General features: G+C 36.0%; 2 long non-coding RNA genes across 2 annotated transcripts in view; one reads left to right on the top strand and one right to left on the bottom strand.

Moving 5' to 3' along the window:
• Nucleotides 1–26,483, bottom strand: part of LINC01828 (long intergenic non-protein coding RNA 1828) — a 202,799-nt gene that overhangs the window by 118,980 nt on the left and 57,336 nt on the right. The gene's annotated exons all lie outside the window — the stretch shown is intronic.
• The window catches only part of LINC01829 (long intergenic non-protein coding RNA 1829), a 91,963-nt gene that overhangs the window by 45,055 nt on the left and 20,425 nt on the right, over nucleotides 1–26,483 (top strand). Inside the window, exons 4-6 of the long non-coding RNA NR_038844.1 lie at nucleotides 5,678–5,728; nucleotides 21,828–21,928; nucleotides 23,607–23,697. This is a non-coding gene — a long non-coding RNA (long intergenic non-protein coding RNA 1829). The remainder of the gene's footprint in view (nucleotides 1–5,677; nucleotides 5,729–21,827; nucleotides 21,929–23,606; nucleotides 23,698–26,483) is intronic.

The following is a 26,483-nucleotide window of genomic DNA, read 5'->3' as shown; positions in this document are numbered from 1 at the left end:
AGTCTTCTATATCATCCTCTTGTTTGCATCCTCTTTTAAAAAAAGCTTTTTTCTTGCATTCTTTTCTTTCTTGCTTACCCTTTGGCCATCAGAGATGAGAGTGAGGTGGGCTGGGAGTTAGCCTTATGGCAAACTCCCCTCTTGCTGCTGGTCCTACCCTTTGCCTCCAGCTCTCCTTATTCCAGGAAACATTGGGGATGTTCTGCCTGGAGCTCTTCCTTATCTTTCCTGGGCCACAAGCTCCTTCACAAAGGGGTCAGAACAGGATTTACTTCAATGTGGTCTCTGAATCACAGACATTCTCGGAAGTTCCTGCTGTGTGTACCAGTATCTCTAGAGTTTATTGCTGATGTAGGTTTTCCTTTCTAGGTCTATCACATCAGGTGCGAGAAGTGAGATTCCAGACTCAGACATAAACAAGCACTAATTAACCCCTAGCATTTACCCGTCTTATGTCTTCATGAACTAATTTAACTCTCTCCATCTCAGTTTTCTCATTTATGATAAGGAAGAGTAATTGTACTCCACTCATCACATTAGCATAAGAATTAAGCAAGACAGTACTCGTAGGTGCATAGTACAATATCTGACACGAAGTGCTTCATAAATGTTAGCTTGATGATGATGATGAAGAAGACAAGAATTTCAATGAAAGTCTCAGGTTACCATTGTGCTCAGAAGCATTTCGTGAAAGATGAGTAAAAAGGAATCTGATTCTTTTATTGGAAGCACATTGTTTTGAATTAAAGTGAACAGAGGTTAAATTACAAAATAATAAGTTACTGAAAGCAGACTTTTTATTGTCTTAAAGTTGAATCACTCTGTACTTATGAAGTTGTTCTTACTTAATAGTTAAATATGTTTCTAACACTTGTAACCCCAAAACTCATGCCACAGCTTAGACCCTGTTATGGGCTGAATTGTGCCACCTGTCCAAATTCACATGTTGAAATCCTAACTCTTGGTGCCTCAGAATGTGACTGTATTTAGAGATAGGATCTGTAAGAAGGTAATTAATGTTAAAAGAAGTCATTAATATAGGCCCTAATCCTATATGATTGGTATCCTTATAAAAAGAGGAGATTAGGGGCTGGGCATGGTGGCTCACGCCTGTAATCCTAGCACTTTGGGCCAAGGTGGGTGGATCACCTGAGGTTAGGAGTTTGAGACCAGCCTGACCAACACAGCAAAACCCTGTCTCTACAAAAAATACAAAAATTAGATGCGCATGGTGGTGGGTACCTGTAATCCCAGCTACTTGGGAAGCTGAGGCAGGAGAATTGCTTGAACCCGGGAGGTGAGGTTGCAGTGAGCCGAGATCATGCCACTGCAGTCCAGCGTGGGTGATAGAGTGAGACTCTGTCTCAAAAAAATAAGCAACAACAAAAAAACCAAAAAAAAAAAAAAAAAAAGAGGAGATTAAGACACAGATACACACAGAGGAAAGAGCATGTGAAGACGACACAGATACACACAGAGGGAAGACCATGTGAAGATACCAGAGGAATATGGCCAGCTACAAGTCAAGGGGAGAGAGCTTAGAAGAAACCAACCCTGCTCACACCTTGATAATGTCCACCTCATAGTGATATACTTCCAGCCTGCAGACTATCGAAAAATAAATTTATGTCATTAAAGCCACTCAGTGTGTGGTACTTTATGCAGCCCTAGCAAACAAATAGAGACAAAATCTATTTTTTTGCCCTCTGTAGTGTTTAAAAATGTTTTAGTTAGTCTGGCTTTTAAAAACACATCATCATTATGCTGCTTTTCAGCAAAATAGTCTTAGTTCTTATAAACATTTTTCCATAAATCCTATTTGAGTATTTTGAAAGAAACTGCAAAGTTGAAGAGAGTTATTTCAATCTGGATATTACTTTTCTTTTAAAAAATAATTTTTTTCTTGTGTTTAAGTCTTTGCTTTCCCTGGTCTTCCTGTACTATTTCCAAGAGATTCATATGCTGAAAGTTTACTCCAATATTTTTGTCAGTTTATCTTTTCTTCTTATTAGCCTAGAGAAAGGTCTTCTAAAGTGCACAAAATATATGTATGAGTAGACTTCCTTTTCTTCGTGGTCTTTTCTAAGGGCTTGTTTTTTCTCTTACATCTACAGTGATAACATATCTGAGTGCTCAATAAATGTTACTTGTTTGAGTCAATGTTTAGAAGAGAATCAGTGAGTGGATTGTAGTTACACAAAGCCAAAAGTTGAACTTTTGTATGTTGCTTGAACTTAACTTAGCAGCCTCTGGAAAATAAACTAGGCTTACTTATTTTTCCACATTTTCACCTAACAAGGAGGAGTCAAAAACACTTTTTTTCTTCTTATAAAAGCAGGAACCCTGAAGAGGGTTTTTTTTTTTTTTTCTTCTTGAGACAAGCTCTCACTTTGTCACCCATGCTGAAGTGCAGTGGCACATTCACGGTTCACTGCAGTGTCCACCTCCCAGGCTCAAGTGATCCTCCATCCTCAGCCTCCCAAGTAGCTGGGATGACAGGTGCATGCCAGCACACCCAGCTAATTTATGATTTTTTTGTAGATTTGGGTTTCTCCATATGTTGTCCAGGCTAGTCTCAAACTCCTGGCCTCAGGTGATCCTCCTGTCTTGGCCTCCCAAAGCATTGGGAATTACAGGTGTGAGCCACTGCACCCAGCCCCTTTGAAGAGATTTTTAAAAATGATACACTATAGTAGCTATCTAGAATTTGGAATATGGAGAGTGTCCATTGGTGTAAAATTTTACTGGTTGAGAGATTTAACACATATGAGAGGCTAGTGTCAAGAACAGAAAAATGTGTGGCTATAATAAAATAATGCCTCTCATCTGAATTATCATCATTGACTCTCAAAATCAGGGAGGAGTTATTCTTGAGACTTTTATGCTTAATAATTCTCCCCTTAGAATCAGTAAATAGAAGCATAGATTATATTACATATTATTTCAAGAGCTGATTTCATCAACTTTTCAAGATTTTAAGAAATATAACTGGGCCATTATGGATGAATTCTTATCTACAAAATTTGAAAGAACTTCATTGACAGTGATTCTACAATCATCTGTAGATAAATTTTCATTTCATGTCTGATAAATTTTCATTTCATGTCTGCATTTGAATTAGGGGGAGAAGAACTGGGAAACATCTATATTGCAATATTTACAATTGACAGTGTTAATTGTTAACAATGGAGAATGGAGTCTTTATTTTAATTTTTATTTTAAATTCACAGGTACAAGTCCAGGTTTGCTACATAGGTAAACTTGTGTCATGGGAGTTTGTGGTACAGATTATTTCGTCACCCAAGTATTAAGCCTAGTATCCATTAGCTATTTTTCCTGATCCTCTCCCTCCTCTCACCCTCCACCCTCTGATAAGCCTCAGTGTGTGCTATTCCCTTCTGTGTTCAAGTGTTTTCGTCATTTAGTCCCACTTATAAGTGAGAATATGTAGTATTTGGTTTTCTGTACCTGTGTTAGTTTGCTAAGAATAATGGCCTCCAGCTCCATCCATGTCCTTGCAAAGGACATGATCTCATTCTTTTTCATGGCTGCATAGTACTCCATGGTGTAAATGTACCACATTTTCTTTATCCAGTCTATCACTGATGGGCGTTTAGGTTGATTCCATGGCTTTGCTGTTGAGTATAGTGCTGCAGTGAACATATGCATGTATATGTCTTCATAATTGGATGATTTAAACTCCTTTGGATATATACCCAGTAATGGGATTGTTGGGTTGAATGGTATTTCTGTCTTTAGGTCTTTGAGGAATCACCACATTGTCTTCTACAGTGGCTGAACTAATTTACACTCCCACCAACAGTGTATATCCTTTTTCTCCACAACCTTGCCAGCATCTCTTATTTTCGACTTTAATAGTAGCCAGAGAATGGAGTCTTAATGGAATCTTAACAATGTTAGAAAAAGAAATACATTTAGGAGCAGTTGGTCCCATACTTTTTCTATTCAGAAGGACTCATTTCCTGAATATGGAATATGGTATTTTATTCTTCTATCCTGTCTCCCAAACCCAAGATAATTATTCTTGATTTGCTTTATGGCATGACAACATTTCTGAATAAAAGTTATTACCCCAGTTTTAACTACAGTTTCTTATCAATACCATACATCCTTCCCCATTAATTTTATTCTTAGCACTCTGGGCTCTGCTGTTGCTATATATTTGTACATTATCAAGATTCGACATGCTGGTCAACTTCTCTATCACTGCAAAGCTTACCGGGTTCTGGAATGCTATCAATGCCATGTTCACTAGGTGTCTTTCCTATAGTGTAAATTCAGTCATCAAATTTAGTTGTAGTCACTTCCTGGAGGAGGGAGGCATTTAAACTGTGTGGGTCCAAAGCTGGTAATGACTTCACAATTATAGAGGAACCACAGACCATGGTGTTCCATGTAAATGATCACAGCAGGTCAACATGACCTTTCAAATGGGAGCCTACACTTAAAAGATGTATGACAAGACTTTGTAACTATGTCATTTTAACTTATGTCTCTTGACACTGGAATTCTCTTTGTTAACCTTACCAGCAAGGCTCCTCTTCAAAGGAACACTATGAAATTTTTAAATTCTAACCACATATTGATTCATCTAATTTCATACTTGAATAGTCATAATTTATCAAATTTAGAGAGTTCTGATGTTTAGTTTATGTGGTTTGTTTTATAGCTGGGTTCTTTTTCTCTTTCTGAATGGGGTATCCCACTAAAATCTCAGTTAATATGTTCCAACACTGCCACAGGAAGCTCTGTGTGCAACAGCTTTGGACGGTTTCGATTTAATCAAGAGGAAGATGAAAGTGGGTGTCCATTTCTTTCAACTCCTCGGCTCTTTCACCATCCATCATAGTCAATGTGTGGTTACTCAGGACACAGCATTAATGATAGCTGTCAAAATAATAGTCTGTGGGTTAGAGGTCAAGAAAAATATGTAAAAGACTTCAGGGTGAACCAGATGATAAAGTAGCTCATTTAGTCATTTAAATGCTAGCCTAGCATGGCCTTGGTGAGATCAGGGGTTAGTGGAAGGAAGAAGAATAAATGGGGACATCTCCAAGTAGTTTACTCTTGTTAAAAGGGGAAAAAAAGATGATAACAGCATTACCAAACAAGCACACTAGAGGCAATTTTCTTAATTATAGTGCTGAGCCAGCAGTGCACACAGAGTGGGCTTGCTCTTGGCATGAAAGCTTTTACTTTCAAATAATATTAACCCTTCTTGGTACTGCAAGTCTTAATTAAGATAATTCCTGGAAGTGCTGCCAATGTCAGCAGTTTTACGTTTCCATTGGTGTTTATAAGCCATTTGTAAAAGAAGTGGGCTGGGGTCCTGGCACAGTGTCCAAAGTGAGTTACTTTATCAGAGGAACTTTTTCAGTGAATCTAAAGAAAAAGCCTACAACATTTTGTTTTATTCCATTGGTCACCTAATACCACATTATACAAATTCCTGAGAGAGGGAGAGAGGGAGAGGGACAGACAGAGAGATCACTTTGGTCCTATGAAATGATCTGAGACAGCAAAAATCATGTCACACGATACATATCGAAAATGCATGTTTTTGCTTTTAAATATAGGCTGCTGCCTTAGTTTGGGTTGCTGTAACAAAAACACCAATGACTTGGTGGCTTAAACAATAAACATTTATTTCTTACAGTTTCAGAAGCTGGGAAGTTTAAGATCAAGGCGCCAGCAGATTTGGTGTCTGGTGAGAGCCCTCTTCCTTGCTTGTAGACATCCACCTTCTAACAATATTCTCATATGGCCTAGAGAGACTACCTGTTACCTGTTTCTTCTTACAAGGGCACTAAGCCCATTTCTACTTTCATGACCTAATCACTGCCTAAAGGCTCCACCTACAAATATCACATTGAGCAACAGGCTTCAACATATAAATTTTGACACATTCAGTCCATAACAGCCACAAATTGGCATTGATAGCCTTGTAGCTCAATTGTTGGATATTGTTAATTAGAATGCATTCTTTTGTATAGTAGATGAAAGTAGTACAGCAATTGCTTGCAGTAATTATACACTGTAAGAATCACTGAAATATCATTTTTATGTTTGAAAAACACTGGCTTAATGTAATTTTTAAATGAATTCTTACATTTGTATACCACTACAGGGTTCTAAGAAGGAGCCTTTGAAATTGTCCAGATAATAGCATAGTTAATTTATGGTCACTTGAGGATTTACTTTTGAAAAGAGATCGGTGGTATATAATATCCATCTGTCCAAATTATGTTTCTCTAATTTGTCTAGGTGGAAATGTGAAATGTGGCCTGAGAGAACCCATGGTTCACTAAAATGGTAGGCACATCAAGAATCAAGCAGAGAAAAAAAATTAAATATTAGTTGAGAAATTTCAGTTTCTGAGTATTCTACATCAGGGATCTATAATCAACAACTCTGTGGACGATGGCTAAGTCCTCATGATACTGACTCTGGAAGTTAGAGGGAAAAATTTTTCTCATGGGCTAATTTACAGAGGCTAGACTCATTCTGTTTATAAATTTTTATTATCTTATACAGATTACATGTTACACTATTTTAAGCACAAGTTTTTCAAACATTAGTTTGAGTCATTTTCAAGCCTCAAATATATTAGCAAACCTTTATTTATAGTTTATCTTTTGAGATTATGAGATGAGATATATCAATTATTTTTTTTAAATTGTTTTATGTAAGCAAGATGCCTACTATAAAACAATGCATTTTCCAACTTTATAAAAATGTTTTCATTTTTGTTAACTGTTCTTACAGGATGGTTTGACTCAGTTATTGTCCCATGAGTGTTCTTTTAAGAGTTTCTTCTTTCAAGAGTTTATTTATCGCCACTGACTCTCTAGAACTTTTTTGACAATGACATCAGAACTATTAGGGAACTGCATTGGCCCTTAATTGTATAATGTGTCCAGAAGCCAGCAATGGCTAAAGATCTTGGTAACTGATAGTGATGAAAACTTTTCTTTCAACTTAAATATGCTCACAAGAAACAAACAACAATAAAATTTAAAAAACACAAATAATAGTTTCCTTATAGTTTTTAAGACTATGCTATTTAACGATATTCGAGAAAAACTTTGGTAGTGTAGTTTACATTTCATAAGTGAGAAAAAATCAATAGTAGATTTGCTCTTTTTGAAATCCAAACAGAATAAACAGTGTACTTGGTAACCACACTTAGCCATATCTTTTGAAGTTCCATCATTAACACTTCTACTTTTTTTTCATTCCTTATTAAAGTGTGGAGTATTATAGTATCGTACAACATCAAAATTCTAAAGGAAAAAAACCCTATATTCTCTTAGAGGTGAGAAAAAGGGACTTAATTGGATGTGATTATCATTATCATTTTTTAAATGAATACCATAGTAATGGGTTAAGTATAAAAACAATACCAGGTGTCTCCAAAGATGATGATGATCTAAGTTAATCTAGGACCTAAGTGGTCTATTTGAGCAACAGCAAAAATAATACCTTATTTCCATTTTATAAGTTATAAAGTGATTTAAATCACTTGGACAGAGTATTTCATTGGAATTTAATAATGGGGGATAAAATTTTAATGAGATGGGATGCCATATAAGAATTAGGGCATAGGAAATGACTTAGAAATGTTAAAAATGTGCAGCTAATAATTAATTTGTAGTTAGTCATAAAAGTAATCTATTTCTCATTTATTCTTCTATTCATTTATTCAGTAAGAAGTTATAGAAATGCTATTTTTTAAAATTATACTTTAAGTTCTGGGATACATGTGCAGAATGTGCAGGTTTGTTACATAGGTATACATGTGCCATGGTGGTTTGCTGCACCCATCAACCCATCATCTACATTAGGTATTTCTCCTAATGTTATCCCTCCCCTGGCCCTCCATCTGCAGACAGGCTCCAATGTGTGATGTTCCCCTCGCTGTGTCCATGTGTTCTCATTGTTCAACTCCCACTTATGAGTGAGAATATGCAGTGTTTGGTTTTCTGTTCCTGTGTTAGTTTGCTGAGAATGATGGTTTCCAGCTTCATCCATGTCCCTGCAAAGGACATGAACTCATCCTTTTTTTATTGCTGCATAGTATTCCATGGTGTATATGTGCCACAAGAAATGCTATTATGTTTTTAACTTTTATATATTTGATGAAAATTGCTCCATGTTTATAATTAACAGGATCTCAAATGTTTCTAAAGTCCTTATTAAGATGGAAAAGAAGAATTAAAGATTATATCAATCAAAAATGTGGATAACAGATCAAAGTTAATCTATTTATTAAAGATCTGTTCTTTAGCAATAACCTCTCTGAATCAAAGTTTCTTCCTGTGTAAAATGAAATGAAACCAGCTAATCTTTACTATCAACTTAGGTTGTATTTGTCAACTATGAGATAAGCTGGACTTGCTGGCAGGTGGGCAGCTTTTCTGAAACTTGCTAATTCTCCATTTTGCTGACCAAATCCTATCTCAACATGTCTACTGCTCCATGAAGCTGTAAGGATAGCCACAATCTCCAACCTTAGAACAAGATTCCGAAACCTTGACAGGAACTGTACCTTGACCTAAGTGGTCTTGCTCTTCCAAAACATAGTTTGCCAGACTGATAAGCTTTGATTTATCCTGACTTAGCTAAGGAAATTTTCTTTTCCAACCAAAGTGTTCCTGGGAGATACTGCAAGTCTCTGTTTAAATGCAGACACCTTCTCTTCTGGCTTCATGTTAGTCAGGACTTTCTTGTTACCCTGTGGACCACAGATACATCATATTGGAGACAGTGAGAGAGTGAACGCAATGCTGTTTTAAAGGATGGCACATCAGTAAGTGTGCATTGACTATAGGGCATGTGCTTAGTGACCTGAGGTGATATGGGAGAGCAGACATTAACCATAGGCCTCAAGAATGAGATTAAATAAGCAGATACTAAATAGGCAGCCACAGCAAATATCCTCTCTCCTCATACTTCCTATCTGCCCGCTTGACATGAAGATAAGGAGAACCTGACCTGATTCCCACCCCCTGCCTCGCCAGCCTCACCCCCTCCCCTAGACATGATCTATTGCCACTAGTGACTCCTACATCACAAAACAGTACGACTGGAAGGGACAATGGAAATGGCATTTTATAGAAGCTGGAGAAGGGCACTGATTTGACCGGGGCAAAAAGTTAGTTTCTGGAAAATCACTATGAAACTGAGGTCTCCTTTCTAGTTCAGTCCCAGCCATTCATACTCAGCCTCTCTGACAACAGGGAACTTCCAGAAAATTCTGTAATTCCTCATACCCTGTATTAGATTTGTAGGAATGCTGGAACAAAGTACCATGAACTGTGTGGCTTATAAAAGCAAAAACGTCTTTTCTCACAGTTTTGGAGGCTAGAAGTCCAAAACCAAGGTGTTAACAGAAGCATACTCCCTCTGAAGGCTGTAGGTGGAATCCTTCCTCGCCTCTTCCTAGCTTTTGGTGGTGGCTGGCAACTCTTGGCATTCCTTGCCTTGCAGCTACATGGTTCCAGTCTTTTTCATTGCTGTCACATGGACTTCTCCCCTGGGTGTCTGTCTTCACGTCATCTTTCCTATTCTTATAAAAATGTCAGAGTAGCCTAACGGCCCACCCTATTCCAGCATGACCTCATCTTAACCAATTACATCTGCAATGACCCTTTTGCCAAATAAGGTAGCATTTGGAGGTACTGGAGGCTAGGAATTCAACATCATGGTTGGGGGTATTCACACAATTCAACTCATAACATATCCCCTAGCATGCAGGCCGAGGCCTACAGAGATGCTGGGAAGAATGGAGAGTCCAGTACAGTGAGTTCTTCTGGGTATCCCTGCTTCTTCCCCTGGTTCTCTTTGACATTCAGCTTGTGTTCCATTAACTAAAAATAGCAGGAGCTTTGCAACCAAGAAAATAGGAGGGATGCTCGTGTCTGTTCCTCTCTTCTCTCTTCCCAAAGCAGCCTATAGTCTCTGAGTGGAGAAACCATGGCCCTCCCTTTCCTGTAGTCTTTGCTCACTGATTCCTGTCTCTCCATCAAAAAACATAAACCTCGCTCTCCTGGCCTGGATCACAGTCATTACTCACTGACCAGGAAGAGAACATCACAATGGCTAATGGAAACTCTCCTCAGCACAAACGATGCAGTTCTCTAATTTGTTTAGCTAAACTACATTAGTCATACTGAAAGTTTTATTATCAGAGTCAAATACAGGAAGCTAGAGCGGACATGCTGTATTTTAAAAAATTAAAGCATTTTTAAAAATAAGCTTGGCATATTGATTAGCTAATTTTCTAAACAAGAGGCTCATTCCTTTTAATCCTTGGCATTACTGTAAATTCTATTTCCGCCTATGGGTCATAATGTTCCAAAGAGGATTTAAAACAACAACAACAATACACACATATTTCATGTTAGGTTCTGCTTTAAGATCACCTTTGCTGAGATGTTACTGAATTGGGTGAGAGAGTTGTGGCCCTGGATTTCTGCAGGACCTTGCCATTGTGAATTTGGAAGAATGAACTGTGATTCTTTGCATGAATTGACAGAAAAACTTTATACTCATATATATGATTTTGTATGTTGTCTAAAGCAAACAACTATGGCCAGTTCTGTCATTTCTATAGAGGTCACTTTGTTGGACCTGGTTTTTATTTCTTATAGCCTTTTGCAGGAGTGGGCCCTTAAACACCTCTTTCTCTAATTTTACTACTTATTGTTGTTACTGTTGTTTGTTTATAACAGATAACGAAACACATGGCCTTTGTCAAGAACTCAGTCAATGCTCTGGGTAATTCATACTATTATTTTGTGTGAGACATATTACATATTACTACCAGTGTATTATCTTATAGTGAGACCACTTGAAATCTTTCCTTCTAAATAAGCCTGTTTGTTCACAGGCTTCATTTTACCAGATTCACTGTTAATGTTTTCAATGCCTAGCATCATGCGCTTATCATAGTAAGTCTCAAAAATCGATTCCTTAATAGTGAAGAACAAGCAGGCACACTTCTTAGTCAACATTAAAAATTTACTGAATTTCTTTTTCTTGTTTCTAAATTAGGCCACTTCTACAATAAAGGTTTTACTACACTCCTATATTGATTAAAAGTTCTCATATAACTGTAACAGAGGAAAAGCCTATGACTTGAAAATTCTCAGATAAACCATCTTACAGGTGAATGTTTTAGGTTCAGTGAATTCAGCATATGCTAAACAGGAAGGAATTAAATTGAAAGAAAATAGTGGAAAGGTTTATGTATTTTCTTCCAAAGTTTAACTAAAGTAATTAAATTAGGAAACCAATCATTTTATGTGTGCTCCTGGAGTTTATTTGGGATAAGCAATTTATTTAGTAGATTCTGCATTGCCAAGTTAATTTTTTATGACATTTGCAAATGGACCAGACAGTGTAACATTACCTCCTTCTCCTTGCAAAAAGAAAAAAGAAAAATAAAGCAGTACCAAAAATAAATGTCCTAGGCATAGTTCTCACATCATTCAAATTACCCAATTCAATGTTTTAAGCCAATCTAATGGCTTTGCCCATCCCTATCACCACCCTCCCACACTGGAAATATGCCTCCAATAAGATGTTTTCATGATGAATGAGCTAATGTTTATGAAGCACTTAGAGATCCTTGGGCAAGACACTTTCTAATTACAAAGTATAGTTCTCATTATTAAATGGAAGCTATTTTCCACCTGTGTTTTTTGTTATCCATGCTATTTCCATGCCATACCCTCCTGATGGTTTCCATTGCAAAGTGAAATCAGCTTCTTACAAATAAGGGTGGGGGTGCATGAGAGCTTAATAATTTTAAGTCACAGTGCATTGCACATGCCCAGAAAAGCCTAGATCACTTCCAAATTCAAGGACTAATAAAAATTGGAAGCACTCCAGTAATTTTAAATTGCTCTGCACATTGAAGAGTGATTTAAAATCATTGGAGTGATTCAATTTTTTTTATATATGCACTTCAATTTAGAAGTGAGTCAGACAGACAGCATCATAGTGTAGGATAGAAGTCCAAGACACTGAATTAATGTTTAAAAAGTTAGGAATTAGACCAAAACATCACTGGAGGAAGTAAGAGCAAACAATCACCAGAGTGGATTGGGCCATTAAGTTGAAGGACCATGGTGAATTTCTGAACACATTTTCCAAGGCTGTCCTCACTTTGTCCATGGCCATCTTTTTTTTTTCTTCTGAACTAATGATATTTATAGTCCTTATTGCTAATTTATAAATCCACTATATATTTGTTTTAATATTGCTCAGGTTTATATTTCAGTATTGTCATTGATTTTTGTCTGATCATTTAATTTTCATGTGGGTGAGTCTTTATGTAGAAATATAACATGAGTCACAAAGGTAATCAGCATATGTAACTTAAAATTTTCTAGAGCCACAATTAAAAGAGAAAAATGAAAAATGTGAAATTAATTTTCCTAATATATTTTATTTAACCTAATATAGCCAAATATTATTTCAATATTTAGTTAGTATACATTACTTAGATCTTTCACATTTTCACATTTTTTTCTTTGTACTAAGTCTTCAAAAGCTGTTTTATATTTTAAACTTACAGCAGACCTTCATTTGGAGTAGTTGCATTTTAAATGCTTGATAACAACATGTGGCTAGTGCTACAGTAGATAGTGTGGCAAAAGAATATAAACACCTTGAAGGTATGAACTATGTTTTCTGCTTCATTTTATATTTCAGATTTGCATTTCCCATTGCCTTTACCAGCTCACTTAACTTGTGACTATAGTAGTCAACAGTGCACACTTATTAGCATAAAAAACCAAACAAAGCAAAACCAAACAAGCCAGTGATCATTCTTCAGGCCACATGCAGTTTGCAGCACATACTCTACCTGAGCTGCATATGGGATTGAAACAGAAAGCCGACATACGGAGTTTCTTGAAGGCCTAAGGCTGAATTTCAGCATCTATGCGTTTATGCATAAAATTCAAATATGGCAGTGGGAAATACCTCTCTGTTAACTATGACAAACAGAAGAAAAAACACACAGGAATAATTTTTGGTAGTCAAATTGAGCAAGAGTTTATTCACAGCTACAAATAGAGGAGCATCATTTTCCCAAAAAAGACTCTGGTCAGTGATTGGTTTCCATCTCAAGTCTCTGCTGGAAAAGGCATTTTATGCTCCGGGGACAGATTTTTCAGATCCTCCCAGGCCAGAACATGAGGATATGAGTAAATGCAAAAAAGATGGTGCCACACAGTGGATGCATTGTTGGGAAAGCAAATGATTTTACACGACTCAGAGCAAAGAAAGGATGTATAAGGCCACGAATGACAGTTTGATGGATAAAGATGAATGGCCAAAGAGAAACTGTCACTTAAAATTCTTCCTTTGAACATTCTTTCATTGAGGAATTTCATAGAACTACACTGAATTTTTCTCTCCTTTTTCAGTCTTTTGTTTGCCTTATTCTAAAAACAATGTATGTACCTTATTTTGAAAATGCCAAAAGTAAAAAAGAATAACAAAAGGTTACCTTTATTTCCACCACCCAGAAGAAATCATTGTTACTTTGACTTATTTATTTCTAGTGTTTCTTTTATGGATTTTCTATAGTTAAGATAGTATTGTGCCTTCTTGATTTTACACTTTAATTTGAATATTTTCCTGTATTATGAAAAGCCTCTTAGACCACAACTGACTGTCATATCAATAACATTTTTTTCCATTACAACTGATGCTGTAATGAGCATCTTTGTACTTAAATTCTTTACGGCATTTCAAGTTGTTTGCTTAACATAGATTACAAAGGGAATTACTGGGTCAAGAATTCTGGACTTTTGTAAGGGTTTTGAAATTATATTGCCAAGCTATCTTCAAAAAGGCTACATTTTCTTTCTGATAGATATTTCTATCATGTTTGGCACACAAAACTGTATCTTTACACTCTATTTCTAGTTTGTTCCCAAACCACTGTCTTAACTCCCATTATGCAGTTTGGTTCATAGCAGTCTGTAAGTCCATAACACCAGGTTGTCAACAACCTGGTGTAATAGTCCCATTCAAGCAGCAGTCTGCATTTAGCACCTATTCAAACTATTTGTGAACAGACAGAAAAGGGAAGAGGGCCTTTGGAAATATTTGCCTTTATTAAAATGTATTACTGCTTTAATTTCCTTAGATGTATTAGTGGAAAATATGTTCTTCCTATATATTCTAAGGAAGGACCATTTGATATGCCTCACTTCTGTTGCCTGGTAAACTAGTTATCTTTCAAGATTTGTAACAACCTACATTTACTGAGACTTTCCAGATATAAACACTTTACATTTTGGAATTTGTCATTTCACCCTCACAATAACTATGAGGAAGACACCACTATCAGTCCCCTTTTACTGTTTAGGGGTCTGAGCCTTTGATATTAGAAATAGGTAACTTACTCAATTTATATGACTATGAAATAGCAGACTCAAGATTTAAACCCAGAATCCAGAGAGTCTATTTTGAGAATTGCCTGTTCTTCACTGCTACCACTATGCAGCCCAGAATGCATACCTCTTTTATGAAAATTTTCTAAACCATCTTCATGTGGACTTTTCCCCTTCCTCGTTAATATTCCCTCCAGTCCTATACTTTCTCTTTCCTTTGCACCTCTAACTCTTCTTTGCACATATCTGTTTATTAGCTAACTGTAAGCTTCTTGAGGGCAAGTTGGTACCTGCTCATCATCATATCTCTGCTGCCTAACAATGCCAGGCATCACATAGGAGCTCAAGAAATATCCGTTGAATAAATGGTGTGAACAAAACATCTTGGAAGAGAGTCCTAACATCTTGCAATACTATTCTTGACATCTTGCAATACTATTCTTTTAAAAGTATGGAATTTTTCCAGAGTACATGGCCTCGTTCTTATAAGCACAATTTAAAATAAGAACCCAAAGAAAAGGGACTGAACTGTTTAGTATTATGAGAACTTTAGGCTAGTAAAATGTCATTTAGGCTACTCTGGGTTATATTTGGCCTGTAACGCAGAACCAAATATTCAGGCAATAATCTTTAAAGATTTCCAAACTATTGTAAACCAACAGCCTATTTTTTTTAAACAAGTCTAAATTGATGTATAATAACATAGAGCTGTGAAGCTTCATGGTTTCAGTTGTTTTACTTTGATATTTTTTTCTCAAAGTACAGCTCAGCAGCTCTGAACCCACAAAAGCCAATACAAAAAAGGGGTTTGCATAGAATCTTTGGAAACTGATAATGTGTAGTATGCACAGCTTTATTCAGCAACTCAAGGGGGCAAATATATCCATTATTGCAATCTATCACATTAAGAAAAATAATGGCTCCTCAGGCAGTTGGAATAAAATGTTTAAAAACTAAATAGCAAGGAAACCATTTAATGACTCTTCTGTATGTTTATGACTTCTGTGCATTTACAACTTCTGTGTGTTTTTTTTAAAGAAGGATGGATGTGTTCTTTGTAGAGAAAAGAAGTTGTGTAAAACCCCAAATGCTCAGGTTAAGACCCAGAGATGATAAAATGTCTTCCTCACAGAACATTCCTACATTAAAAAAATGGTTTTAACCACAATGACTGAGAAACAAACCATTATACAGTTTTGGATGGAATGATACATCTTTAGTAATGTACCTATTTTACTCTTGTATTTAATATATATAAAAAAGGACCACTTTGAGATTTTTAATACATTGTCTTTGATTTTTATGTCTGTTTCATAAGAACTATTAGCACTAGTATTTATCTTTATTTTTATTTATTTTAATGTTTGTGGGTACATAAAAAGTGTATCTATTTATGGGTTATATAAGATGTTTTGATACAGGTATGAAATGTGAAATTAGCACATCAGGGAGAATTGGGTATCCATCACTCCAAGCATTTATCAATTGAGATGCAAACAATCTAATTATACTCTTTATTTAAAAATGTACAGTTATTATTGACTATAATTCTTCAGTTGTGCTGTCAATAGTAGGTCTTATTCATTCTTTCTTATTATTTTGTTTCTTACCCATTAACTACTCCCACCTCTCCTCCAGCCCCCTACTACACTTCCCAGCCTCTGGTAACCATCCTTATTCTATGAGTTCAATTCTTTTGATTTTTAGATCCCACAAATAAGTGAGAACATGTGATGTTCGTCTTTCTGTGTCTGGCTTATTTCACTTAACATAATGATCTCCAGTTCCATCCATGTTGTTGCAAAAGACTGTATCTCATTGTTTTTTTATGGCTGATACACATATCCACATGGTGAATATGTACCATATGTTCCTTATCCATTTGTATGTTGAGGGGGGACACTTAGGTTGATTCCAAATCTTGGCTATTGTGAACAGTGCTGCAACAAACATAAGAGTGCAGATATCTCTTTGATATACACTGATTTCCTATCTTTTGGGTATATACCCAGTAGTGGGATTGCTGGATCATACGATAACTCAATTTTTAGTTTTCTGAGAAACTCCCAAACTGTTCTGCATAGTGGTTGCACTAATTTACATTCCCACTAACAGTGTACAAGGGTTGCCTTTTCTCCACATCCTCACCAGCATTTCTTATTACCTGTGTTTTGGATATAAGCCATTTTAACTAGGATGAGATGATAAGCAGTTTTGATTTACATTTCTCTGATTATCAATAACATTGAGCACCTTTCCAAATGCCTGTTTGCCATTTGTATGTCTTCTTTGTAGAGATGTCTATTAAAATTTTTGCCCATCTTTTGATCAGATTATAAGATTTTTTTTTCCCATATAGTTGTTTGAGGTCATATATTCTGGTTGTTTATCCCTTGCCACGTGGGTAGTTTGCAAATATATTCTTCCATTCTGTGGGTTGCCTCTTTACTTTGTTGACTGTATCCTTTGCGTGCAGCAGCTTTTTAACTTGATGTTATCCCATTTGTCCATTTTCGCTTTGGTTGCCTGTGCTTGTGGGGTATGACTCAATACATTTTTGTCCAGACCAGTGTCCTGAAAATTCTCCCCAATGTTTTCCTGTAGTAATTTCAAGGTTTGAGGCTTTAGATTTGTCTTTAATCCTTTTTTGATTTTTGTATATGGTGAGAGATAAGGGTCTAGTTTCATTCTTCTACAAATGGATATCCAGTTTTCTAAGCACCATTTATTGAAAAGACTGCCTTTTCTCCAGTGTATGTTTTTGGCACTTTTGTCAAAAATGAGATTACTGCAGGTGTGTGGGTTTGTTTCTGGTTTCTCTATTCTGTTCCATTGGTCTATGCGTCTGTTTTATTGCAAGTACCATGCTGTTTTGGTTACTGTAGCTCTGTAGTATAATTTGAAGTCAGGTAATGTGATTCCTCTAGTTTCGTTCTTTTTGCTTAGGAGAGCTTTGGCTATTCTGGGTCTTTTGTGGTTCCATATAAATTTTAGTATTTTTTTTTTCTATTTCTGTGAAGAATGTTATTGGTATTTTGAGAGCGATTGCATTGAATCTGTAGATTGTTTTGGGTAGTATGAACATTTTAACAATAATGATTCTTCCAATCCATGAACATGGAATATTTTTCCATTTTTTGGTGTCCTCTTCAATTTCTTTCATCACTGTTTTATAGTTTTCATTATACAGATCTTTCACTTCTTTGGTTAACTCCTAGGTATTTAATTTGATGTGTGGCTACTGTAAATGGGATTACATTTTTTTCTTTCTTTTTCACATTGTTCACTGTTGGCATATAGGTATGTTACTGATTTGTGTATGTTAATTTTTTATCCTGCAACTTTACTAAATTTGTTAATCAGTTCTCATCACTTTCTTGTGGAGCTTAGGTTTTCCAAACATAAGATTATATCATCTGCAAGCAGGGATAATTTGACTTCTTCCTTTCCAATTTGGATGTCCTTTATATCTTTCTCTTCTATGATCGCTCTAGCTAGAACTTCCAGTACTATGTTGATTAACAGTGGTGGCAGGGTCATCCTTGTCATTTTCCTGATCTTAGAGGAAAGGCTTTCAGTTTTTCACCCATTCAGTATGATACTAGCTGTGGGTCTGTCATCTATGGCTTTTATTATTTTGAGGTATATTCCTTCTAGACCCAATTTTTTGAGGGTTTATCATGAAGTGATAGTGAATCTTATCAAATGCTTTTTCAGCATCAATTGCAATGATCATATGGTTTTTATCCTTCATTCTGTTGATATGATGTATCACATTGGTTAATTTCTGAATGTTGAACCATCCTTGCATCGCAAGGATAAATCCCACTTTGTCATGATGAATGATCTAATGTATTGTTGAATTTGGTTTGCCAGTATTTTGTTAAAGACTTTTGCATCAGTATTTATCAGAGATATTGGCTTATTGTTTTCTTTTTTTGATGTGTCTTTGTCAGTTATTGTATCGGGGTAATACTGGCCTCATAGAATGAGTTTGGAAGTATTCCCTCCTCCTGTATTTTTCAGAATAGTTTGGGTAGATTTGGTATTAGTTCTTTTCTCTGAATATTTTGTAGAATTCAGCAGTGAAGCCAATCAGGTCCTGGGCTTTTCTTTATTGGGAGCCTTTTTATTATTGTTTCGATCTTGTTACCTGTTATTGGTCTGTTCAAGTTTTGGATTTCTTCCTGGTTCAATCTTGGTAGGTCGCACGTAACTAGAAATTTGTCCATTTCTTCTAGATTTTCCAATTTATTGGCATATACTTGCTTATAGTTGGCACTAATGATTCTTTGAATTTCTGCAGTGTCAGTTATAATGTCTCCTTTTTCATTTCTGATTTTATTTGAATCTTCTTTTTTTCTTAGTCTGGCTACATGTTTGTCAATTTTAACTTCAAAAAACCAACTTTTTGTTTCATTGATCTTTTGTATTTTTTCATTTAAATTTCATTTATTTCTGCTCTCATTTTTATTATTCCTTTTCTTCTACTAATTTTGGGTTTGGTTTGCTCTTGCTTTTCTAGTTCTTTAAGATGCATCATTAGATTGTTTATTTAAAGTTTTTCCTCTTTTTTGGTGTAGACACCTATAGCTACAAATTTACCTCTTAGTACTGCTTTTGCAGTATCCCTTTGGTTTTGGTATGTTGTGTTTCCATTATAATTTGTTTCAAGACATTTTTCAATTTCCTTAATTTCTTCATTGACCCAATGGTCATTCAGGAGCATACTGTTAAATTTCCACGCATTTTATAGTTTCTAAAATCCCTCTTGTTACTAATTTCTAGTTTTATTCCATTGTGGTCAGAGAAGATGCTGGACACTATTTAAATTTTTAAAAATGTTTTATGACTTGTTTTGTGACCTAACATATGATCTATTCTTGAGAATGATCCATGTGCTGAGGAAGAGAATGTGTATTCTGCAGCACTTGGATGAAATGTTCTTTAAATATCTACTAGATCTATTTGGTTTATAGTGCAGATTAAGTCTGATGTTTCTTTGTTGATTTTCTTTCTGGAAAATCTGCTTAGTGCTGAAAGTGGGGTGTTGAAGTTTCCAGTATTATTGTATTAGGGCCTGCCTCTCACTTTAGCTCAATAATATTTCCTTTATACGTCTGGGTACTCCAGTGTTGGGTGCACATATCTTTTTGTTGTTGTTGTTGTTGTTTGTTTTGTTTTGTTTTTTGAGATGGAGTATTGCTCTGTCACCCAGGCTGGAGTGCAGTGGCGCAATCTCTGCTCACTGCAAGCTCCGCCTCCCAGGTTCATTCTCCTGCCTCAGCCTCCTGATTAGCTGGGACTACAGGCACCTGCCACCACGCCCAGCTAATTTTTTTTTTTTTTTTTTTTTTTGTATTTTTAGTAGTGATGGGATACCGTTTTAGCCAGGATGGTCTCCATCTCCTGACCTTGTGATCCACCCGCCTCGGCCTCCCAAAGTGTTGGGATTACAGGCATGAGCCACCGCGCCTGACCTGGGTGCACATATCTTTAAAACTGTCACATCCTCTTGCTGAATTGTTCCCTTTATCTTTATATAGTGACACTGTTTGTCAATTCTTATAGTTTTTGTCTTGAAATCTATTTTGTCTGATATAAGTATAATGACTCCTGCTCTTTTTTGGTTTCCACTAGCATATTTTTTCCATCCCTTTATTTTCAGTCTATGTGTGTCTTTATAGGTAAAATGTATTACTTGTAGTCAACAGATTAATGGCTCTTAACTTTTTCATCCATTTGGCTAGGACTTCCAGTACTAGCTGATTGCAGACTTTAGCCCATTTACATTCAACGTTATTATTAATAAGTAAGGACTTACTCCTGCCATTTAAAAATTTGTTTTCTGATTGTTTTGTGGTCTTCTCTTCCTTCCTTTCTTTCATTCCTGTCTTCCTCTAGTGAAGGTTATTTTCTCTGCTGACATGATTTAGTTTCTTGCTTTTTACTTTTTTTAATCCATTGTATGTTTTTTGGTTTGAGGTTACCATGAAGCTTGCAAATACTACCTTATAAACCATTATTTTAACCTGATAACAACTTAACACTATTTTCATAAACAAACAAACAAGCTAAAAGAAAACTAATAAAAACTCCCTTAACTTCATCTCTGCACTTTTTAGCTTTTGGTTTCTATTTATATCTTAATGTACTATGTTTTTCAAAGTTATTAAGTTGTAGTTATTATTTTTGATTTGGTTGGTTCATCATTTAGTCTTTCTACTGAGGATACTGTAGTTTGCACATCACAGTTACAATGTTATAATATTCAGTGTTTTTCTGTGTACTTACTATTACCAGTAAGTTTTGTATCTTCATATGATTTATTGTTCATTAACATCCTTTTCTGTTGGATTGAAGTACTCCCTTTAGCATTTCTTATAGGACAGGTCTGGTACTGATGAAATTCCTCAACTTTTGTTTGTCTGGGAAAGTCTTTATTTCTCCTTTTTGCTTAAAGGATATTTTCACCAGATATGCTATTCTACGGTAGAAGTTATTCTCCTTCATCACTTTAAATATGTCATGCTACTCTCTCCTGGCCTGTAAGGTTTCTGCTGAAAAGTCTGCTGCCAGACATTGGAGCTCCATTGCATGTTATTTGTTTCTTTCATCTTGCTGCTTTTAGTACTCTTTCTTAGTCTTTGACCTTTGGGAGTTTGATTATTAAATGACTTGAGGTAGTCTTCTTTGGGTTAAATCTGTTTGGTGTTCTATAACCTTCGTGTACTTGGATATTGGTATCTCTCTCTAGGTTTGGAAATTCTCTGTTATTATCCCTTTGAATAAACTTTCTACCTCTCTTTCTCTACCTCTTCTTTAAGGCCAGTAACTCTTAGATATGACCTTTTGAGGCTATTTTCTATATCCCGTAGGCATGCTCCATTGCTTTTTATTCTTTTTTTTTTTGTCTCCTCTGACTGTGTATTTTCAAATAGCTGTTTTCAAGCTCACTATTTCTTTTTTCTGCTCAGTTCATTAAAGCAATGCTATTAAAGGACTCTGATACAGTCTTCAATATACCAATTATCTTTTTCAGCTCCAGAATTTCTGCTTGATTCTTTTTTATAATTTCAACCTCTTTAAATGTATCTGATAGAATTCTGAGTTTTCTCAGTGTTATCTTGAATTTCTTCGCATTTCCTCAAAAAAGCTATTTTGAATTCTCTGTCCGAAAGGTCACATATCTCTGTTTCAAGCAAGGTTTGCAAGCACTCAAGTTCAGACCACTAGGATGGGCAGTTCTCCTCTGGCTAGGGTTGGTTTAAATGCTCCCTCTGTGGGTGGGCATCATCTGAGTTTGGTCTGGTTTTCCTTTCTGCACTAACAGGGCAGAACTGAGTTCTGTGCCTCACAATTGCTGTGTTTTCCCTCTCTCAACACCCATAGATGCTCTCCACACCAGTCCATGGCTGCCGTGGTGTCAATGATTCAGGACTGTTTTTTTAATCTCTTCAATTCCTCTTCCAGAGACATGAAGTTAAAACCAGGTACTATGAGTGCTCACTTAATATTTGGTTCTTACGAAGGTATTTTTTCTATGTAGATAGTTGTAAACTTGGTGTCTTGCTGGGGGTGGTGGCGGGAACAATTGGTGAAACTTTCGATTCCACTATTTTGCTCTGCGTCTCTTCAGCACTAGTGTTTATACTTAGTACCTTTTCTTTATACTAAAGCCTTTCAATACCCAGGTGAAAATAATACAGGAAAAATGTATTTGAACATGAAAACAACTATTTAAAGGTATGGTTAGGAATTTTGTGCATATATTGCTATACATATACATTGTATGTACATACATGTACATTCTTATATATATTTTATATTTATATATTTTGTGTGCATATATACATATGTGTGTGTAATCAACACACTTATAAGTGTACTTATAAGTGTTCAAAGTCATTTTCCCATGTACAGTTTCCCCTTCTCTTTTATATCTCTATTGTGTCCTATACTTTGTTTTTAGAGGCATACTGTTTGCAAAGTTTACTTAGACAAAGAAAAAAGTTTTTCTCATACTTTTTCATGAAATGATATTATACTTGCAATAAGAGGCACCAACTTTAGTAGAAACCTGAAATATGTTTCTAATAACTCATCATAGTTATGCTCCATATGACAATAATGAAATTTGAATGCTTGTGGTGGCTTTAGGTGGTGGCTGTGCAGAGATGGAGAGTGCTGGGTCAGTCCTAGATAAAGGTCAATGGCCAGCAGGTACAATCTGTGACTAAATAGCCACATTCAGAAGAAAAAGTGCCAACTGGTATTGAAAGTTTATGAAGTGCCACCAAGAAGATGTTCTGAAAATTGTTGTTTAATGAAAGATTGAAATGAACAGATAAAGAAGTTGGTTAGATTACAGGAAACTGGCTTCAGGTACTTCATAAAAGTTTTTCCTAATGATTTTCTCTTGTTTATGCACTATATCTATCTAATTGTCACCTTTGTGTTGGATTAAGTGTACCACTCATGTTAAAGTTGAGTCTCAGGATAAAAATCTCTCCAAATCAACCATGTATTTGAGTTCTGCTTTGGAACCATCAGAAGTCTAGTTCAATTCAGCTCTTGTTAGTGTGGAGTCAGGGTGCTGGTTTTCAATAGAAACTAGGATCACATCCTGATGCAGGGTGTGTGGGGTTATCCTGGAACAGCAGGAGAGCATGATCCAGGATGGAAAACCATGCATGGGAACCACAGTGGAGCAGATGGCTTCTATGTAGCAATCACTGCTTTGCTGGGATTGTCAGATAAACCAGAGATGGCTCAGACTTGGTCTTTCCCTAAGGAGGCATTGCTTATAGATGGTAAATATTTCACCAGCATTCAGCTGCTAAGGTGGGGTCAGGAAGGTCAACTGGAGCTTTGAGAATTTCTAGCTCAGACCTGAAGCTATCTCAGGGAATTCAATAGTAAGGGGTAAGGTGGAGCAGCAAAGAAAAGAACCAAAAGGAAGTGTTCTGGATCCTCCATTCCTACTTCAACTAGGGCAACCCCATATCATATTTCACTTAAACAAATAAATTTACCTTAAAAACTACATTAAGTACCTCTGCTTTCGATGATTATTTATGTGAACACCGAGGTAGGGGCACATATTTTGCTGATAATAAAAATGATCATTGTTGATTAAACTGCTTTGAGGCATTAGCAGGTTTGTTATAGGAAAAATCAAGACAGAACAACACATCCTGTGGTGTCTGGACAGAGCTGACCCTGTGCAACACAGACCTCAATGGACCCTGATATCTTCTTGGTAAGTAGCTGTGGCACAATGGAGGTTAAAATGTGGTGGTAGCACAGGTTGCAGAGGGAGTCAGTAGTCATTGAGTATCACAGTTGTTGAGGAAGTCCTAGTACTGAAAAGCATGCAATGAGGCCTGGCTACAATCCAAACATGCTGGATAGTGCTGGTTGCTCATATTCAGGGGGGTCTAACCATCTTATAACACTGGGCTAGATAAAGGATATATGGATTTCTGTAGCACAGTGATAGGCTCAGGCACTGGAATTCAGGCAAACTCAAATTCCAACTGCTTATGTTTGGAAAGTATTGATTCAGCTTCCCTGAATCAATTGGTAATGTGAAGCTAGGTAATAAAATAGGCTAAGAAATTATATAAGAATACAGTATGTATTTCTGCACTCAGGGATACAGAAAACTCTGTTCAATAACCTCTAAAAGAAGATAGGATTGTGGCATCATAAGATAGGAGTTTTACCTCTGTTATGTCAGCTTAGTCTCAGATATCAAGTTCATGGGCTTTGAGTCATCCAGGGATGTCTAGTACTTGAGTGTTGGATCACCAACCTACTGTGAAACAGCGCTTCCAAATCTTACACAGCACAACTGGGTGGAGGTTTTTGTTGACATTCTCCAGTGGCATGCATTGGTCTTGAATAGGGTGATCAGTGTCTTGACAGAGTGAACAGAAAAAGCCAAAATCATTGCAGACAAAGTCTTAGTTTAGGTGTTAGAAAGATGATCGTTTCACACTTTGCTATTAAGTGTATAGTGAAAAGCATGAAAAACACATTCTCTACTGTTCGTGGATAATTTTCCTGTTCAAGTTTTTAATTTAAAAAATTTTTCATAAACATCTTAAACTGATTTTAGATATCTTTATGACTAGAAAGATCATAAAATCACAGAGGTTTCAAGCTCCCCTTTTGGCTTAGATCTTAAACAGAACCTGGGTTTCATCTAGGTAATGTAAGAATGCATGAGGTATCTGAAATAGCCAAACTCATAGAAGCAGGGAGTAGAATGGGGGTTTCCAGGGCTGGGAGGAGGGAGAAACAGAAAGTTGCTATTCAATGGGAATAACATGTCAGTTATGCAAGATAGATAAGTTCTAGAGATCTGCTGTACATCATACCTATAGTTAACAGTATTGTATTGTACACTTAAACATTTGTTAAAAGTATAGATCACATGTTAAATATTCTTCCTAAAATAAATGAATGAATAAATAAGCAAGTAAACAAATAGAAAAAGAAAAAATGAATTCAGTGACAATTAACTGAATGGGAAGAGGTAGAAGTTTTGGATAATTCCCACAAAATCTCTCAAAGAACTCTAAGAAACCAAGCAAAGACATGGTTCAGTGGCTATGAATAATTTATCCTCTTGAGTCACAAGCTGTACCTGTTTTTTGGCTAAAATAAGTTATTCTTTGTAAATGAATAAAAAATATTACAGTGAGCTAGCTGGGAGTGGGCAGATTTTGGTAAAATAATGTCATGTTCAACATAATGCAGAAAATGGAAACAAAGAAATACAGTAGTATATTTACTTTGTACCACATAATTCAGTAATAACGTTAAGAGTATGACCAATAATCTCTTACCAGCAATAAATAGTTACATTTTGTGAGCTGAAAAAGTACAGCCAGACAGCAAGTGGGAAGTTAGTACTGAACCCGTATCAAGGACGTTCTAAAATCTAGTGTGAGGCAGGTGTTGAGGTCAGTGAAAGGACTATATTTGGGCATCAGAAGATGCAAACATGGGTTCTTTGCAGGAACACCTTAGCCAATTCTGTCACTTTACTTTCTGCTTCCATAGGATTATAATGATTTAATTTCCCTCATGCATAGCAACTGTTGTCCAAAGGCACTGCTTTTGTTCTGCAACACTGCTTAGCTTCCAACACTCATATTCACACTTCTTCCAGGATCATCAAGTTAAGAAACTTTTGATGAGGCCACAAGGATCACAGCCATGTTTCAAATATGTCCTAACATGTACATTAAATATTGTTGCATATTTCTTGTCACTTTCCAAGTCCCTAAGGCTTTGGTGATATCTTCTCTTCATTTATCTCATATTACAAAAGAACTGCCTCTCAAATACCACCATAATTATTGACTTCCATAATGACCACTTTAATTGAAATCATTTGGGATTTCCCAAAGGTAGTCATTCAAGAGCCATATAAATAAATGACCTATTAGCAGATTTAGAATGCTACACATTATTAACAAAGTGAATTCCTCTTTCATCTGTCTACCACCCCAAGGATAATAGCATTTCAACAGGAACAAATCTGTTTCTCTTCAAGATTCCATCAACTAACACTTAGGCTTACCTACTATAGACCTTACTAATACACACCTCCTGCCAGGGTTATTAGTAATTCAGAGAGTTTGTACATGAGCTTGGTTATCATTCACAATAAAAAGATTAATTATTCTTAGAAGTGGAGGTTGTTAATGAACCCTAAAATTTTCATCTAAATCCCTTATTTCACAGACACCCTAATGAATTGGCAGGCCTTGTGATCCTAAGTGGGATGTTATAAAAACATTCACTCTTTGCTAAGGAGGATTTAGAACCAATTGCCTTAAAATACTTTTAACCAGAACTTTGCTAACAAGACTCATAATGAACTATTTTTGTGTTCCATTTAAATGGAGATGCAATTTCTAATTATTCATCCTCTCAACATATTTATTGAAGGCTTTGTTATATGTAAAGCATTATTTATTCTGGATTCCAAGATCAGGTTTTTTTTTTTTTTAACAAAGAAATAATTCTAGC

The sequence above is a fragment of the Homo sapiens genome, chromosome 2, assembly GCF_000001405.40.
Source record: "Homo sapiens chromosome 2, GRCh38.p14 Primary Assembly".
Taxonomy (NCBI): domain Eukaryota; kingdom Metazoa; phylum Chordata; class Mammalia; order Primates; family Hominidae; genus Homo; species Homo sapiens.
This window is presented reverse-complemented; position numbering and strand designations above follow the sequence as displayed.